This window comes from Homo sapiens, chromosome 7, assembly GCF_000001405.40.
Source record: "Homo sapiens chromosome 7, GRCh38.p14 Primary Assembly".
NCBI lineage: Eukaryota > Metazoa > Chordata > Mammalia > Primates > Hominidae > Homo > Homo sapiens.
In genome coordinates, this window is record NC_000007.14 from 26868204 (window position 1) to 26886398 (window position 18195).

Sequence of the window (18195 nt, forward strand, 5' to 3'; positions counted from 1 at the left end):
GAAATCGTTCATGAAAGGAAGAGTCTCTCAAGGCAGCAAATTTCATTTTTGTTTTATTTTAAGAAATTGCCACAGCCATCCCAGCCTTCAGCAATCACCACCCTGATCAGTCAGCAGCCATTCACATTGAGGCAAGACCCTCCACCAGAAAAAAGATAACATGCTGAAGACTCAGATGATCATTATCATTTTTTAGCAATAAAGTTTTGGGGGTTTTTTAGAGATGGAGGTCTCTCTATGTTTGCCCAGACTGGCCTGGAACTCCTGGGCTCAAAGGATCCTCCCACCTCAGCCTCCTGAGTGGCTTGGGACTACCGGAATGTACCGACATGCCCAGGTGCAATAAAGTATTTTTAAGTAGGTGTGTTAGTTATTTTTCCAGACATAATGCTACTGCATACTTAATAAACTACAGTAAACATAATGCTTATATGCACTGGGAAACCAAAGTATTTGTGTGACTCACTTTACTGCAATAGTTGCTTTATTGGTTTGGTCTAGAACCTAACCTGGAAAATCTGTGAGGTATGCCTGTTTGTGTGTGTGTGTGTGTATACACTCATGTATTTATTACATATATGTACGTATATACATATTTATTACATTCAAGTGCCTCTTAACCATTAAAATCCCTCAAAACCTGGTGCGGAACCATCAACGAAAATGAAGTCGCTGAAATCCCTGAAGAACACAGAATAGAGGCTGAGGAGGAAGGCTTCAGACAGAAACTTCCTAGGCAAAGCATTTAGTGAGTATACACTGTGTATTTCTCTTAGTGAAAATATCATTGACAACATGAGTCATTGAGATGCCCCCTGCCACACCCTCCATCTCTGCTTGGCAAGGCACGTTTTCAAAACCACGCAAATGTCAGCTTCTATATTAAGCCTTCACTTAGATTTCCCTTGGTAGAGATAGTGGCTCTTTCCTAGAAGTTACTATTATATCTTACATTGTTCCTGGGCTCCAGTCACATTGTAAATTGTTTATTCCTTTACCCTCCAACTTTCACTAGATCAAACTATAGTTTTCATTAGAATCACAGAGAGAACCTATTACATTGTGAATTCTCAAATCCCATCCCCAGAGATTCTGAGTCAGTCTTTTTAGGGTGGGGCCTGAGAATCTGCGTGTTAAACAATCCTCAGCTGTAGCTCATGCCTGTAATCCTAGCACTTTGGGAGGCTGAGGTGGGTGGATTGCCTGAGCTCAGAAGTTTGAGACCAGCCTGAACAACATGGTGAAACCCCATCTCTACTAAAATACAAAAACTTAGCTGGGCGTGGTAGCATGCACCTGTAGTCCCAGCTATTCGGGAGGCTGAAGCAAGAGAATTGCTAGAACCTGGGAGGTGGAGATTGCAGTGAGCCGAGATTGCGCCACTGCACTCCAGCGTGGGGCAACAGAGCAAGACCCTGGCACTGAAAAAAAAAAGTCCTCATAGGTGAATGCAAGACATCATGAAATTTCATTTTAAGAATCACTTTGCTACTTCCCAGCTCCTACAGGGCACAAAATTTGTTGTAACTTATCTTTCATCCTCAGCTGGAACCCTAAACCTAACACAGAATAACAACTTTATTAATAGTTCATCAAAAACACTTCAGACAGTCTAATAAAAAATTAGAAAGTCAAATGCAGTATGACATTTTTGTGTAATTCTCTGAGATAAAAGTAAACTAGTTATAAAAGAAAAAATAGAGCATTTTCGAGTCTGTATCTTGCCTCTCAAAACAAACAAACAAATAAAAGACAAAAACTTTACGGCTGAAGTAAAACATGCAAAAATAACAACAAAAAAAGACACCCCTGCAAACAAACCCATTCCCCAAAATGGAATCTGAAATTCCTACCCAGATTTTAAAATGTGATGAATTATAGAAAGAGCACTGAAAATTTGAATTGTTTTTGGTGGAGGTAAAAGTAAATAAATAGTCATTTTACAATATACGTCTTCCAACTTCAAAGAATTGAGAACTATTTTTCTTAAGCTACAAAATTATCTTCCTTCCTAAAGAAGAAAACAACTATTTCATGGACATTTTATATTAGGGAGGATTCTTCCTCCTTCTACAGTTATCACACATAATTCTTTGTCTTGTCACATTTTTTATTAAACCAGGTTTCCAAATGTCCCAATCCTTTGTTTCCTTCTGATAGAACTGAACCTGTTTTTAAATTCCTGTGTCTCATTTATTTACTTATACTCCACTCATTCCACTAAGGAATTGAGGTGATTTGCTCTTGTATCAAATAGACAGCTTTCTGGAGTGGATCAAATGGACAGTGTCTACACTGCTCATTATGACAAGTCATTCTTGTTAGTGAGAGACAGGAAACTATTAAGATTACCTTAAAATATATAGCATCTCATAGTCCAAATAAAAAAAGGCAATAACAGAAAATGGACTTTTTGTGTGAAACACATTTTCCCTATTTAGGAAGCCATTCTCAGACACAGGTCCATGATAGATTCACTTGGGCAATGCTTTGTATAGTCTATCATTTTTACTGTTTATTGTTAAAGTTATTGAAATTGATTATAAGATGGAAAGTGTAATAAAGAGAAGTTAGGAGAAATACATTCTTATTTCTCTTGTTTCCATAACAAAAACCAAGAAGTAAATCAAATCATACTTTACATTCTTTAAACTAGTCATATTAGGTTGAAAAAAAAGAATAATAAATGTAACTTTAAATCTCAACCTAAGAGAGGTAATGGCCTCCCTACCATTCTACAAAGGAGAGACTAGACTCTGATAAAATCTTATGATTTGTCTTCCCAAAAGTAGATCCTCCAGTTCAAAGATATATGTATATATCCCTATAACTGAAGCTAACTGCCTTTCTTATGTTCTTCAAAATTAGCTTAGGGGCACTGAATAAGTATTTTCCCACAGGCCTAGGTTTAAGAGAAGCTAAAAGAGCACCGAAGAAAAATAGAAAGTAAGCCAAACACAATTTACTTTTCTCAGCCTCTCATCTTCATTTTTATTTGGCTTTCATAGGCATGTGGAAGAAAGATTATATTTATACTTAGGCATTATATTAGCTATCTATTGCTGAATAACAAAATTGAGTAGCTTAAAACAAACAGTATCTCACAGTTTCTGGTGGTTAGGAATACATGAGCAGCTTAGCTAGATGACTCTGGCTCAGAGTCTCTCATAAGAACTGCAGTCACCTGAAGACTTGACCATGGCTAGAGAATCTGATTTGATGATGGCTCATCTACAGGACTGCTGACTAGAGTCCTCCATTCCTCTTTGTCTGTTAGAAAAAAGCCTCACTTGTTCACAACATGGACTTCTCCATAAGGCTGCATGAGTATCCTCATGATATGACAACTGGCTTCCCAAAGCAATTAATCCACAAGACAGAGCAACCAAGACAGAAGCTGCAATATCTTTATGACTTAATTTCAAAAGTGACATGACTTTACTGCTGCCATATTTAATTGGTAACACAGACCAAGCCTGCTGAAAAGGGGGAAGGGACTACATAAGGCTGTGAATACTGGAGGTAGAGATCATTGGGGGCCACATTGGAAGCTGGCTATCATAGTAATCCCTCTGACGCCCAATGGTTCACATCCCTCCCACATGCAAAAATACACCGATCCCCTCCCAAAGCCACTTGCAAAGTCTCATCCCATTGTCGCATAGTCTCAAAGTCCAGAATCTCATCATTTAAATGAAGCTCAGGTGTGGATGGTGCTCCTCTGGTTTAATTCCTTAAATACGGCTCTTTGAGGCCAGTGCAGTGGCTCACGCTTATAATCCCAGCACTTTGGGAAGCCGAGGCAGGCGGATTACCTGAGGTCGGGAGTTCGAGACCAGCCTGACCAACATGGAGAAACCTCGTCTCTATTAAAAATACAAAAAATTAGCCGGGTGTGGTGGCGTGCGCCTGTAATCCTAGCTAATCAGGAGGCTGAGGCAGGAGAATCACCTGAATCTGGGAGCTGGAGGTTGTGGTGAGCCTAGATCGTGCCATTGCGCTCCAACCTGGACAACAAGAGCAAAACTCCGTCTCAAAAAAAAAAAAAAAAACATATATATATATATATATATAGACAGCTCGTTGAGTACAGATATCTCAAACTAAAGATCTATGTAGTACAAAGACAAGTTATCTTGTCCCCACATATTCAACATACGATAGGAGACACTCATAGGATAACCACTACAGACATTCCTGTTCAAAGGGGTGGGGAGAATAGGAAGTATACAAAGATCACTGGTCCAGAGCAATTCTGAAGCCCAACCAGGAAAATGTGGCAAGTTATTTGATTAGGACACAGTTCTCTTCCCACCTGGAAATAACTTATCCTCTGCTCTTCGTTCTTCCCTCTGAGCCACCCATCTTTTTCCATGAACGGTTGTGTAATTTTCTCAACCTGCTTCCTGACAATACAATTGAGGTGGGGGGTGGGGTGGTCAAAAGATCTGTTTTCATTTTGTATTGTCACTGTCCCAATTCTCTATCAGTCAGAGTTCAAGAAGAAAATCAAAACTACTAGAATGAAGCTAGAGATGGAAAGAGATATAATATATGGCAATTTGTTACAAAGATTAAACCCTATCCAATTGTGAAAGCTGGTTAAACTGTCTCTTTATATAAGGCAGTTATCTTTACATCTGATGCTGGAGCTCAAAGTCCACAGAGCGGGGAATCAGAAAGGGAAGATGGAGGAACTTCATGACAAGCTGGTAACCAGAAGTATAAGCCATAGTTTATGAGCACAACCTGAAACCCAAGTTATCTCTCATTTGATGGTATGGATGTTCTTCAGAAGCCAGAGTCCCTCATTAAGGAGCTAAATGCACACACTTTACCAAGAGTCAGAGAAGTAGAAGGAGGATCCAATAGAAAATGAGCAGTTGCAGGCTCAGCTGCTGACTTACACCAATGAAGTGAGCCAACCAGTAAGCAACCATACATGTGAACTACAAAATGACTGCTGCTTCATTTCTGCTCTCCAAGTCTTACAAAAGAATATATTTTGTGGCCTAGCCTAACCAGAAACATGCAGAAAAGGGGATTCTAGTAAATTTAGGTCGACAGCCACCAACCATACACTTGTACTATCATAAATAAAATGTGGACTAAATAAATGAAGCAACTAGGCTGGGCGCAGTGGCTTAAGCCTGTAATCCCAGCACTTTGGGAGGCTAAGATGGGTGGATCACCTGAGGCCGAGTTTGAGACCAGCCTGACCAATATGCTGAAACCCCGTTTCTATTAAAAATACAAAAATTAGCCAGGCATGGTGGCATGCACCCGTAGTCCCAGCTACTTGGGAGGCTGAGACAGGAGAATTGCTTGAACCTGGGAGGCAGAGGTTGCAGTGAGCTGACATCATGCCACTGCACTCCAGCCTGGGTGACAGAGTAAAACTCCATCTCAAAAATAAATAAATAAACTAATAAAATAAATTAAGCAATTGAAATTGCATTTACTTTGCAGCCTAATCCATCTAAACAAAATGCAAAACCTGTTGGCTCTAAAGTTATCTTGTAAGGGCTCTTTTAAGAATTTTTAGAAATAAAGATTTGTTTTCATTTTCTAAGTTATTATCCTTGTTTTCATTTGAAACTTCCATGTTTAGTTGGTATAAGTTTATCATTGTGTGGCAGTCAACAAGAAAAAATATTCTCACTGGAATTCATATGAAGTCATTTACTCTGAAAAGATGTGACATACAACCCAACCAGAACCAAAGGTACTGATAGATGCAGTTCACAATTTGAGTTTTTAGTTCATAATTGTTATTAATCTTATTAGTATAATTTACTAAGTTAGCAAGATTTGCTGTCCATCTCATTCCCATACACACAAACATACACAGTCATGCATCGCTTAACAACAGGGACACATTCTGAGAAATGCGTCATTAGGTGATTTTGTCATTGTGTATGTCTGTGTCATCATAGAGTGTATTTACACAAACCTAGATCTATAGCCTGCTACACATCTAGCTAGATGGTATAGCTTATTGCTCCTAGGCTATAAACCTGCACAGCATATTAATGTACTGAATACTATGGGCATTGTAACACAATGGTATTTGTGTATCTAAACATAGAAAAGGTACAGTCAAAATACAGTATTATAATCTTATGGGACCATTGTCATATACGTGGTCCATCATTGACCAGCGTCATTATGTGGCACATGACTGTACTCAGGCACTTTGCTGCCCTGGTCAATCATTTTAAGAATAAGCAATTTAATATGAACTAGAGTTGAGTAATTAACATAATGCTGTACGTCTTTAGGGTTCTACAAATTAGGAATAAGGTGAGAGAACTATCCATCCCATTCCAGACTTGTCAGAGGCTACCTGGTTCCCTGCCCAGGTAGCAGCCCTCTTCTCCCTTTAACTGAATTGATTTCCTTTATCTAAGATTCTCAGTGCTCAGGGACCTAACCATCAGAAGGGTCAGCTTTCGTGATAATCTGGCTCTGATCTTACATCCTAGCTCTAGTAACTGAGTTTCTCCTGCCTGGTTCGGAGACAAAGTCCTTACTGTACTTATTTTTAATAAAGAGACATATTTGTCTTTATTACATCTAGGCCTCTTGGACTCTGGCTCTGCCTTACTCTTAGTCTTAATTTATAGGCTGCTGTTATATTCCACCTGGATCTCCAGAGAAGAGATGGGCCCAAATCCCATTCTTGCCTTCTATTACTTATCAGGCTTAGTCCCCAAGGTGTATGTGCACTAGGAACATGCCAAGAAAATTCTCATTCTTCATTACTACCTAAAATTTAATGCAGAATCCCTTCTCTTCATGTGAATTGTTTTACTACTCCTCGATGGTTTGATGAAGTTACCTTGAACTGTGAGCAGGTACATTAAAAGATAAAAACTTTTGATTCTCTCCCTTTAATTCTTATCACCAAAATCTCTACTTTCTGCCTCAGAGGCCCAATTGAGTGATCCTAAATATATCATTTTTATTCTTGGTTCATAACAGAGTCAGGGAAAGTTGTCCTTGAGCTTTCCTAAGGGGGAAAATGCAGGGCCACTGATACAAGTTAATTTTCCCCAATCCACCCTATTGCTAAAGATGACTCTTCCTGCACTCCTTGAAATTTTACCAATTAGAGAGAGAGTGGATGGGTAACTATCTTCCTTTGTACTTTGATCTAGGTTGGTTTGAGAAATCATGTTTAATGATTTAGTACCTGGATTTAATGGTTTAATACCTAGGTTAAGCATATTATGGCTTTGGATGAAAGATAATTGAGACAGTATTTTGGAATTTAAAACATTATAAAGGAAAGCAGGCTGCATCAGCCTTCCAAATAATGGTTTCAAGACTAGCAGTGTAAAGCAAGCAAGATGTTCATGGTCATATGTTATGCTGTGTGCCCTGCTCTCTCTTTAGGATAGCACTGATCCCCACAAAATCCTTATCAACATTTAATGAAAAGACAGTCTCCTAGAAGAATGAAACTGAAGAACATAGCTGCCTTACTAATTAAACTTTGGCAGATTCGCACTTGGCCTCTGAATCATAATTTATTCTATATGAACTATTTACTGAATTGTTGTACCATTGCCCATATGAATTATTTTGTTATAGGAATTTTGTTTTTGTTATTGTAGCTATTTAAACAACATTAATTTAGATGAAACATGATTTTCTAAATATACTCCTATAAATCATTTTATAGCTAAACAATAAAAACTACCCCCATTTGCAGTGAGCCAAGCTTGTGCCACTGCACTCCAGCCTGGGCAACAGAGCAAGAATCCGTCTTGGAAAAAAAAAAAAAACTAGGTTGGCAAAGATTCCAGAACATTAAATAATTAAAAACAGGTCTGGATTTCTTTCTATATGTAAAGACAAAATAGTAAATTGTAACCAGAGTCCTTCCTATTATTATAGTACATCTATTCTCACTAGGCAATTTTAAAATACCAAGCTGTCTTCAGCAATAGTAATTCGGCGGGTTTGTGCTTAATATATTCATGAAGGGGTTTGATGGATTTGATAACCATAAGCAGCTGTTAACATTAAATTGCCATTTAATTTTTTTCAGTGACTTTCAAAGTTGTCAATATTAAACAGTAGTGTCTTACAAATGACTAAGACCAATATGAGTATGATTAAATAAGATTTATACTGGTCACGGTGGCTCATGCCTGTAATCCCAGCACTTTGGGAGGCTGAGGCGGGCAGATCACTTGAGGTCAGGAGTTCGAGACCAGTCTAGCCAACATGGCAAAACCCCGTCTCTGCTAAAAATACAAACATTTGCTGGGCATGGTGGCACATGCCTGTAATCGCAGCTACTTGGGAGACTGAGGCATGAGAATTGCTTGAACCTGGGAGGTGGAGGTTGCAATGAACCAAGATTGCGCCACTGCACACCAGCCTGGGCAACAGAGCAAGACTCTGTCTCAAAAAAAAAAAAAAAAAAGATTTAAACGGCACTCAAAATTCTCCCTTTTTCTATAGTGTCCAACTACTAGGCAAAAGAAAAACACACACATGCATATGCACATTTTTATAGGACTTTAAGTACTGTCTTGTATATCTGCTCACAATTTGCATGGCATATTACAATACTTAGAAATTATTCCACCCCTACCCCCATTTCAACCCCATTTAATTTTTATACTTTTTCCCTATATTCATCCATCAAATCCATGTTTAATTTAATTTCATAATACTAAACAATTTTTTACCCTCATCCCTAATAGCATAATTTTAAGATACTTTTATTGAAATAATTCAGATATCAACTCTTCCCCTTTCAGTTCTTCTTTGTTTAATGACTACTTTAGTGTGGTTTTATGTACTGAAATTTGGTAAACAAAGAAAGTCAGCATTGTTGACATCTCCCAGTCTTTACAATTTGTGGGCTGCCACAGACATGTCTATGGGACAAGAGATGACATCAAGAATTATGTAATTTATCATTGATGTGCTTTGCTGTCCTTCAGTCCATTTGTTCAACATTCTAAAGACACATTGCAGTGTAATGAGAAACTAGCTTCCTCCTTGTTTTAGTTCTTTGCTTTGACCCTAAAACCATGTTATCACTTCAAATATGATGCCTCCCCCAGGAACCCATATATATGAGAAAAAAATCACAGACAATTCCAATTCCTCTCCAGCCAGCTTGCTTTATATTTCTATAAGCATTTGCTTTTACTTTTTAAATAGCTACCTTATTTTTTTCAGAGGTAAAAAATTATTTTTATATTTTATGCAATGCTATGAAAACATACAATTTTTAAAATTTAGAAAAATTACCTAACTTGCTAGAGCACAGAGGACTTCCTGAAGTATCCCCAAATTATCTGCTTTCTTTTTATTGTAATTGACTGCTACACATTAGAAGGGGATTTTCTTTCTTTTCCATTTCTCTCGCTTTCTTTCTTTATTTCTTTCTTTCTCTTTCTTTCTTTCTTTTCTTTCTCTCTCTCTCTCTCTTTTGGATCTTGCTCTGTTGCTCAGGCTGGAATACAGTCATAAAATCACGGTTCACTGCAGCCTTTGCCTCCAGGCTCAAGGGAGCCTCCGACCTCAGCCTCCTGAGTAACTGGGACTACAGGCATGCATCACCATGCCCGGCTTTTTTTTTTTTTTTTTTTTTTTTTAAATAGAGACAGGTTTTCCCCATGTTGCCCAGGCTGGTCTCGAACTCCTAAGCTCAAGCAATCCGCCTACCTTAGCCTCCCAAAGTGTTGGGATTACTGGTGTTAACCACCAGTAATCACTTGAGTCCAGGAGTTCAAGACCAGCCTGGGCAACACAATGAGACCAACACAATGAGACCTCTACAAAAAATTTAAAAATTAGTCGAGCATGGTGGCACATGCTTGTTGTCCCTGCTACTCAGGAGGCTCAGGTGGGAGGACTGCTTGAGTCCAGGTGGTTGAGCCTGCAGTGAGCTGTGATTGCGCCACTGCACTGCAGCCTGGGAGACACAGCGAGACTGTTGCCAAAAAAAAAAAAAAGAGAGAGAAGATGGACCTGAATTAATAGAAAGCATTTCCCATTTTCATTTTCATATATCATTTCTTAACTTAAAAAATTAAAAGCTAATATTAAAAAACAATAAATTTGACATATGAAGTACTGATAAGTCTTCAAATTTCATGCATTCAAATATATTCACATTCTTGATTTGTAATAATTAGAATCAGTAGCAGTGTTACCCAAAGTGTAGTCTACTGACAGGTGCCAATCCACAAACTATTTGTTACCAGTACATGAAAAGATGAGTATAGAAAGCCAGAATATTCAGAAATGTTTTATAACAACTTGACACAGTTTCAGCATTTCTTATTGTATTTTATAAATGTATCAGTCAGCATAGATTAGAAACTTAACAAAAAATAAATGGTCCTTCATCAAAGATAGCTTGAGAAGCACTGGTATAAATTACTAAAATCAACAGATACTAACAAAACTTAGTTAAGCTAATAGTTTTAAACTCTTTTCCTACTAAATTATGTTTTTAAAGTCAGAAACACAATGACTCTTATGACTATAAAATCAAATTGAATATAATAGAAAGAATTAATTGTCACTTTTTTTTACGCTATGATTAGTAATATAATTCCTAGATACGAAAACAAAGTCTGCATCTTCTTCTCATATGTATCCCTAACACCAAGCACATTCATAAATTGTCAGTAAAAATGTATTCAATTAATGTCACAGTAATGTAGATTGGTCATGATGACTAAGTAAATCAAATCTTTGCCATTCAGTTCAATCATAGAATGACTTCAAGTTCCATCTCTTCCTTGTGCCCTTTCCTCCCTTTTTTTGGCAATGTCTATGAGTGCTACATGAACAGAGAATGAAAATTAAGCTGCCAACTTTCTGCCTAGATCTTTGCATATACCTGGCATATGGTAGTTGTTAAGTAAGTGTTAAATGTATGATGAAGAAATGTTATCTAGCAGTACAAAAACTATAAGTGAAAGACAGATTATGAAAAAGGAAAATCTAAGATCTCTACTGCATCAGTGATTGCCACAAAAATTAAGCATAACAAACTATCTTAAAATTCACTGATTTAAAAGAACAATAATTAATTTGTAGAGATCCATGGATTGGCCAAGGGTTAACTGATTCAGGCCAGGCTCAGCTAAGGCAACTCAGCTCTATTCCACATGACTCTTGTCTTGGGTATGTTCTTCTCATGGCAATAACAGAAGTACAAGAGAGCAGGCTCAATCATACGAGTACTTTCTAAGCCTTTAATTATATCACAACTACCAACATCTCACAGGCCAAAGCAAGACATAGGGTCAATTCCAGAGCCAAGGGATGGGGATACAACTTAACCATTTTGGGAAGGCACTGCAAAACTGCTGGAAAGGCTATGAGTCTATAATCCTATTTCTTGGTAGGAAGTGAAGAGTTGGAACAATAATCCAGTCTGTCACACTGCAGTAGGCAGGAAAATATGACAAAGATGTCCATATCCAAATTCCCAGAACCTGTGAATATGTGTTCTTACATAGCAAAAGGGACTTTGTAGAGATGATTAAATTAAGGCTTTTGAGAGAGGGAAACTATCCTGTATTATCCAGCTGGGCCCAATGTAATCTCAAGGGTCTTTATAAGATAGAGGAAGGAGGGTCAGAGTCAAAGAAAGAGATGTGATGACAGAGACATAGAGAGTGTTTATGATGCTATGCTGCTGGCTCTGAAGATGGAGGAAGAGGCCACAAGCCAAGGAAGCCAGGTGGGCTTAAGAGCTAGAAAAGGCAAGAAAACAAATTATCCCCTGGAGCCTCCAGAAGGAATGCAGTCCTAATAACAACTTGATTTTAGCCCAGTGAAAAACATTTCGAACTTCTGATTTCCAGAATGATAAGATAATACGTTTGTGCTGTTTCAGTCCACTAGGTTTGTGGTAATTTGTTACAGCAGCAGTAGGAAACTAATGTACATATCTACAAAATCTATAAACTGTATAAGATTTCTAAATAATCAATAGACCCATCATATGTAATTACACTACCAAATAAACACCATTTTAGTTGATAGGACTATTTGTAGAAAATATATTAAGGTTTATGACTTTAGTTTGCTTATTAATGTATGTAACCATTAAGCAGTTTCTTTATTCATCAAACATATATTCCATCAACAAAATTACTGAGACCATCAACCCTAAACTCCGGGCTTGACTAATGAATATAGCTTGACAACCTCATATTTACAAAGGTAGTAACTATGATACTCCAGCCTTGATGAACTTCCCTGAGTTTCTTCATATCTTCAAATTCATGCTGATCTGCCTTCCAATCTGCTTTTCAGAGATTACCATCCACTCACTAAACTTTTTAAAACCTAGTACTCATATTTATCCCCTCACTGAGACTTTGAGGTCAGAGGGCATTATTTCATTTGTGGTTAGTCTAGAAATCTCTAAAGTTCTTCTTGATTGCCAAAATGGTTTCATTTTTTCCTTATCTATGCTTAGAGTAAAATTTCTGTAGATGTAATTCTGAAACATTCCAAGCGAAAAAATATACTTTTTAAAACTGAACTGTACAGTGCTTGCTTGGGAAACTTTAAAAAATTATGTCATAGTTTTATAAAATGCATAACAGCAAGCCAAGCTTCAGCCTTTGAGAAGCCTTAGCTTTTTAAAGAATACTCACGTTCATTCTGCCAAGTAGCTTTGAACTTTCATTGCAAATTATTTTCAATTGTTTATTTTTAATAACAAGTGCCTTTGAATGCAGTACCTATATTGTGCTGATTCTCTGGAAAAATTCTACTTAAGAGTTACCATCTGTCCAGTAAATGAAAGTTGTCCGGTTTAATCATAGTAATTCCTATTATTGCATCACACACTTGTGGAACCATCTTTTATTATTTCTACTACTCATGAAGTCTCATCTATAGGAACTTAATACTGGAGTTTTTCAATACTACATTTTCTGATGTTGTGGGGATTTGCTGCCCTTATGTGATTGCTTTAAGTAGCAACAAGTCATAAAGCCATTACAAAACTCAGATTAAGCAGCTGTTCTTACTGACAAGTTCAGTAATTATTTGAAGACATGTAAATGAAGGTCTGCTCCTAAAATACATCTTCTGATCAGCTTGAATCAGCTTGAATACATTTTTTTTTCTTATTGCTTTAACATCTTTTCCATTTGTGGAAACATATTCAATTGCTTCTTTTTACTGACACACATGGTCATAAGACATGCAAAATATGAAGCATTTAATGTTTCTCTACAAATATTCAATCCTGTTTATTAAAACGGTATTGCCAACTTCCATAGCAATGGGCTCCATTTAAGTAGCTAAGTACAGTACTAATTTTCAAAATAGGAAATTTTGGTCAATTCTTGATGTAAATGCAAGTTATTTCAATAAAGTCAGTAAGCCATAACCTCTTTTTTTCCAGTGGAACTACTCAATTAACATTGTACTTCTCATTGAGTTTTATGTATGAAAAATGAAAACTACAGACTAGAGACAAAATTCTGCCAAAGCTGCTATTATCTGGGTGGTGCACACATGTACACTAATTGTAAGAAGTTTTTGTTTGTTTATTTGTTTTGAGATGGAGTCTCGCTCTGTTGCCCAGGCTGGAGTGCAGTGGCACGATCTCAGCTCACTGCAAGCTCTGCCTCCCCGGTTCACGCCATTCTCCCACCTCAGCCTCCCGAGTAGCTGGGACTACAGGTGCCCGCCACCACGCCTGGCTAATTTAGTTTTTGTATTTTTAGTAGAGACAAGGTTTCACCGTGTTAGCCAGGATGGTCTTGATCTCCTGACCTCATGATCCGCCCGCCTCGGCTTCCCAAAGTGCTGGGATTACAGGCATGAGCCACCACGCCTGGCCGTTTTTTTTTTTTTTTTTTAGACAGGGTCTCACTCTGTCACCTGTGCAGTGTACAGTGGTGCCATCATGACTTACTGCAGCCTTGACCTCTTGGGCTCAAGCAATCTTCCCACCTCAGCCTCCCCAGTAGTTGGGACCACAGGTGCCCACCACCATACTTGTTTTTTTTTATTTTTTTATTTTTATTTTTTGTAGAAATGAGATCTCACTATGTTGCCCAGGCTGATCTCAAACTCCTGGATTCAAGTGATCCTCCCACCTGAGCCTCCCAAAGTGCTGGGATTTCAGGCATGAGCCACCACACCTGGCTAAGAAATATTTTTATTTAGAAAAATACTGCAAAAACTAGTGTTGTGTATTTTGAAGCCACACTGAGATCCTCTCTAGAAATAAGTAAATTGGGGGAAAAAAGATTCCTCTCTGGGAATTATAACAAGACATCAACACATTAAAGGGTGACAGTAGATATATGCAGCCACGTAAAAGAAGCAGAATAGGCTGGGCACAGTGGCTCATGCCTGTAATCCCAGCACTTTGGGAGGCCAAGGTGGGTGGATCACCTGAGGTCAGGAGTTCGAGACCAGCCTGGCCAACATGGTGAAACCCCATCTCTACTAAAAATACAAAAATTAGCCGGGCATGGTGGCATGTGCCTGTAATCCCAGCTACTCAGGAGGCTGAGGCAGGAGAATCACTTGAACCCGGGAGGCGGAGGCTGCAGTGAGCCAAGATTGAGCCACTGCACTCCAGCCTGGGCGGCAGAGTGAGACTTTGTCTCAAATAAATAAATAAATAAATAAATGAGGCAGAATACCTGTCTCTTTTGTTTAGAAGACTTAGCTATAACCTTATTAAATATGGAGACCTATAATCTCAGCCATAGGGTCAGCTCTAAAAGTACAGAAAAGAGAGAATTACACAGGCAAGCACTGACATTGTTCATCCAAGCACTATTTAAGAAGGAGTGACTGTTAGCCAGGAGCCTTTCCTTTGATGAAGAAAACAAGCTTGTTTATAAGCAGATGGGAATAACCCCATTGAGAAGAAGACATTTAAAATATTTAAGATATAGGAGAGAGAAGGGATAACCTATAGCACAGATTTCCTGAGAAGACAAGAAGTGCTGGGATCCAAAGCATAGGTGAAGATATTGACCTTGGGTAGGAAGAGAGATATTCCTTCTATTGTAACTTGAGGGAAGGAGACCAGGATAAGTATGGACATAGGTGGGTTTGGAGATTTGGTATTAAAAGTTGAGAGACCTCCCAACAGAAGGTTTCTATGTACTCTGAGAAGTAGGCCATGAGATTATCCACTAAGTGTTAAGGTCAAGGGAAAAAAGAAGGTAGGAAAGAGGGGAAAGTGGAGGTTTGATTTTTTTAAATGTTTAATAAAGATTAGCCTAGCAGTAGTAATGTCTTCCTCTTCAACTAGCTTGTGGCTAACAGTCAATTAATTTGACTCAAGAAATCAGAAATGGGATATTTTTATACCAATATAAATAAAGGCAAAAGTGCTGTTATGATGTCACACAATAAAATGACTATTTATACACTATTTAAATGTCAATTTAGGCCCATTTGATCTAGAGTATAGTTTAACTCTGATGTTCCTTTGTTGATTTCCCAACTGGATAATCTGTTCATTACTGAGAGTGGGTTATTGAAGTCACCACTATAATTGTATAGCAGTCTATTCCTCCCTTTAGGTCTATTAATGTCTGCTTTATATACTTTGGTGTTTCTGTGTTGGGTGTTTCTGTGTTGGTTTATAATTGTTATAAAGTTGTAGTCTATTTTATCTAACTATAGCTACTCCTGCTTTTTTTGGTTCCCATTTGCATGGACTATCTTTTTCCATCCTTTCATTTTTTAGTCTATGCGTGTCTTTATAGATGACGTGGGTCTCTTGTAGGCAGCATATAGTTGAGTCTTATTTCTTTATCCATTCAGCCACTCTGTCTTTTAATCGGATAATTTAGTCCATTTACATAAATGTAATTATTGATAGATAATAGCTTACTAATACATTTTGTTACTTGTTTTCTGGTTGTTTTGTTAATGTCTCTCTTCCTTTCTTACTGTCTTTCTTAGTGGTTAAGTAATTTTCTGTGGTAGCATGTTTTATTTTTATTTACTATTTATTTATTTTTTGGAGACAGGTCTTGATCTGTCACCCAGGCTGGAGTGCAGTGGCACAATCTCAGCTTATTGCAGCCTTCACCTCCCAGGCTCAGGCGATCCTCCTGCCTCAGCCTCCTAAGTAGCTAGGACCACAGGTGTGTGCCACCATGCCTGGCTGATTTTTGTATTTTTAGTAGAGACAGGGTTTCATCATATTGCCCGGGCTGGTCTCAAACTCCTGGGCTCAAGCAATCCACCTGCCTCGGCCTCCCAAAGTGCTGAAATTACAGGTGTGAGCCACCACATCCAGCCTCTGGTAGTATGTTTTAACTCATTGCTTTTTATTTTTAGTATATTTATTATAGGTTTTTTCTTTGTGGTTACCATGAAGCTTACAAAAACATCTTATACGTATAACAAGTTATTTTAAACAAATGATAACTTATCTTTGATCACAGAGAAACCAACAAATAAAGGAAAAACTAATTAACTCCACACTTTAACTTCATTCCCCTGTGGACACATTTTTACTTTTTGTTGTCTCTATTTATGTATTTTATATTGTCTCTCTCTTAACAGGTTACTGTAGCTAGTATTATTTTTGATAGATTTGTTATTTAGTCTTCATACCACATTTACGAGTGGATTGCATACCACAATTATAGTGTTAGAGTATTCTGAGTTTGTCTGTGTACTTTCTTTTACCAGTGGGTTTTATACCTTCAAATGTTTTCTTTTTGCATATTAATTTTTTCTTTCATATTAAAGAACTCCCTTTATTAGCATTTCATGTAAGATGGGTCTGGGATGATAAGTTCCCTCAGCTTTTGTTTGTCTGGGAAAGGCTTTATTTCTCTTTTATGTTTGAAGGATAGCTTTGCTGGGTACAAAATTCTTACATGGCATGTTTTTTTCTTTCAGCACTTTGAATATGTTGTCTCACTCCCTCCTGGCCTGTATAGTTTCTGTTAAGAAGTCTGTTACCAGATGAATTGGAACTACAGTATTAGTCCATTTTCACACTGCTGATAAAGACATACAAGAGACTAAGAAGAAAAAGAGGTTTAATTGGACTTACAGTTCCACATAGCTGGGGAGGCCTCATGGCAGGAGGCGAAAGGCCCTTCTTACATTATGGTGGCAAGAGAAAAATTGAGGAAGATGCAAAAGCGGAAACCCCTGATAAAACCATCAGATCTCATGAGACGTATTCACTACCATGAGAACAGTATGGGGGAAACCACCCCCATGATTCAAATTATCTCCCACCGGGTCCCTCCCATAACATGTGGAAATTATGGGAGTACAATTCAAGATGAGATTTGGGTAGGGCCACAGAGCCAAACCTTATCAGCTACTTTATATGTTATTTGCTTCTTTTCTCTGCTTTTAGGATCCTCTCTTTGTCCATGATCTTTGAGAATTTGATTATTAATTGCCTTGGGGTAATTTTGAGTTTTATCTGGTTGGTGATCTCTGACCTTCCTATACCTGTATATTTATCTTTCCCAAGTTTGGGGAAGTTTCCTGTTATTTCTTTAAATAAGCTTTCTACCCCTTGCTCTTGCACAACTCCCTCCTGAATACCAGTAATTCTTAGATTTGCTCTATTGGGGTAATTTTATATATCTTATAGGCATTCTTCATTCCTTTTCATACTTTTTTCTCCTGTGGCTGTGTATTTTCCAATAGCCTGTCTTTGAGCTTATTAATTCTTTCCTCTGGTTGATCCATTCTGCTGGATGAAGAGATCCAAGAGAGCCTCAAATGAATTTTTCAGTTCAGCAAATATATTTTTTCAGTTCTAGGATTTGTTTCCTTTTTTATCATTTCAATCTCTTTGCTAAATTTCTCTGATAAATTTCTTAGTTGCTTTTCTGTGTTATTTTGGAGATCACTGAGTTTCCTTAAAACTGCTATTTTGAATTCTTGATCAGAGAGCTCACCTATCTCTGTCTTGTTAGGGGTGATCACTGGCTCCTTGTTTTGTCCATTAGGAGAGGTCCTGGTTCTCTGCTTGCTATTGTTTCTTGTGGATGTGCATCCACGTCTTCACACTGAAGAATTAGTTATCTATTCTAGTCTTCTCTGTCTGGCTTGTTTTGGTTTTTATTGAGTATGTTTGCTTAGAGAATTCTTTGTAATATACCTGTTGAATACTTTTTTTGCTGCAACACTTCCTCCTTTTTGGCAGTATATGGCTCTTAAGCCCAGGTTTGC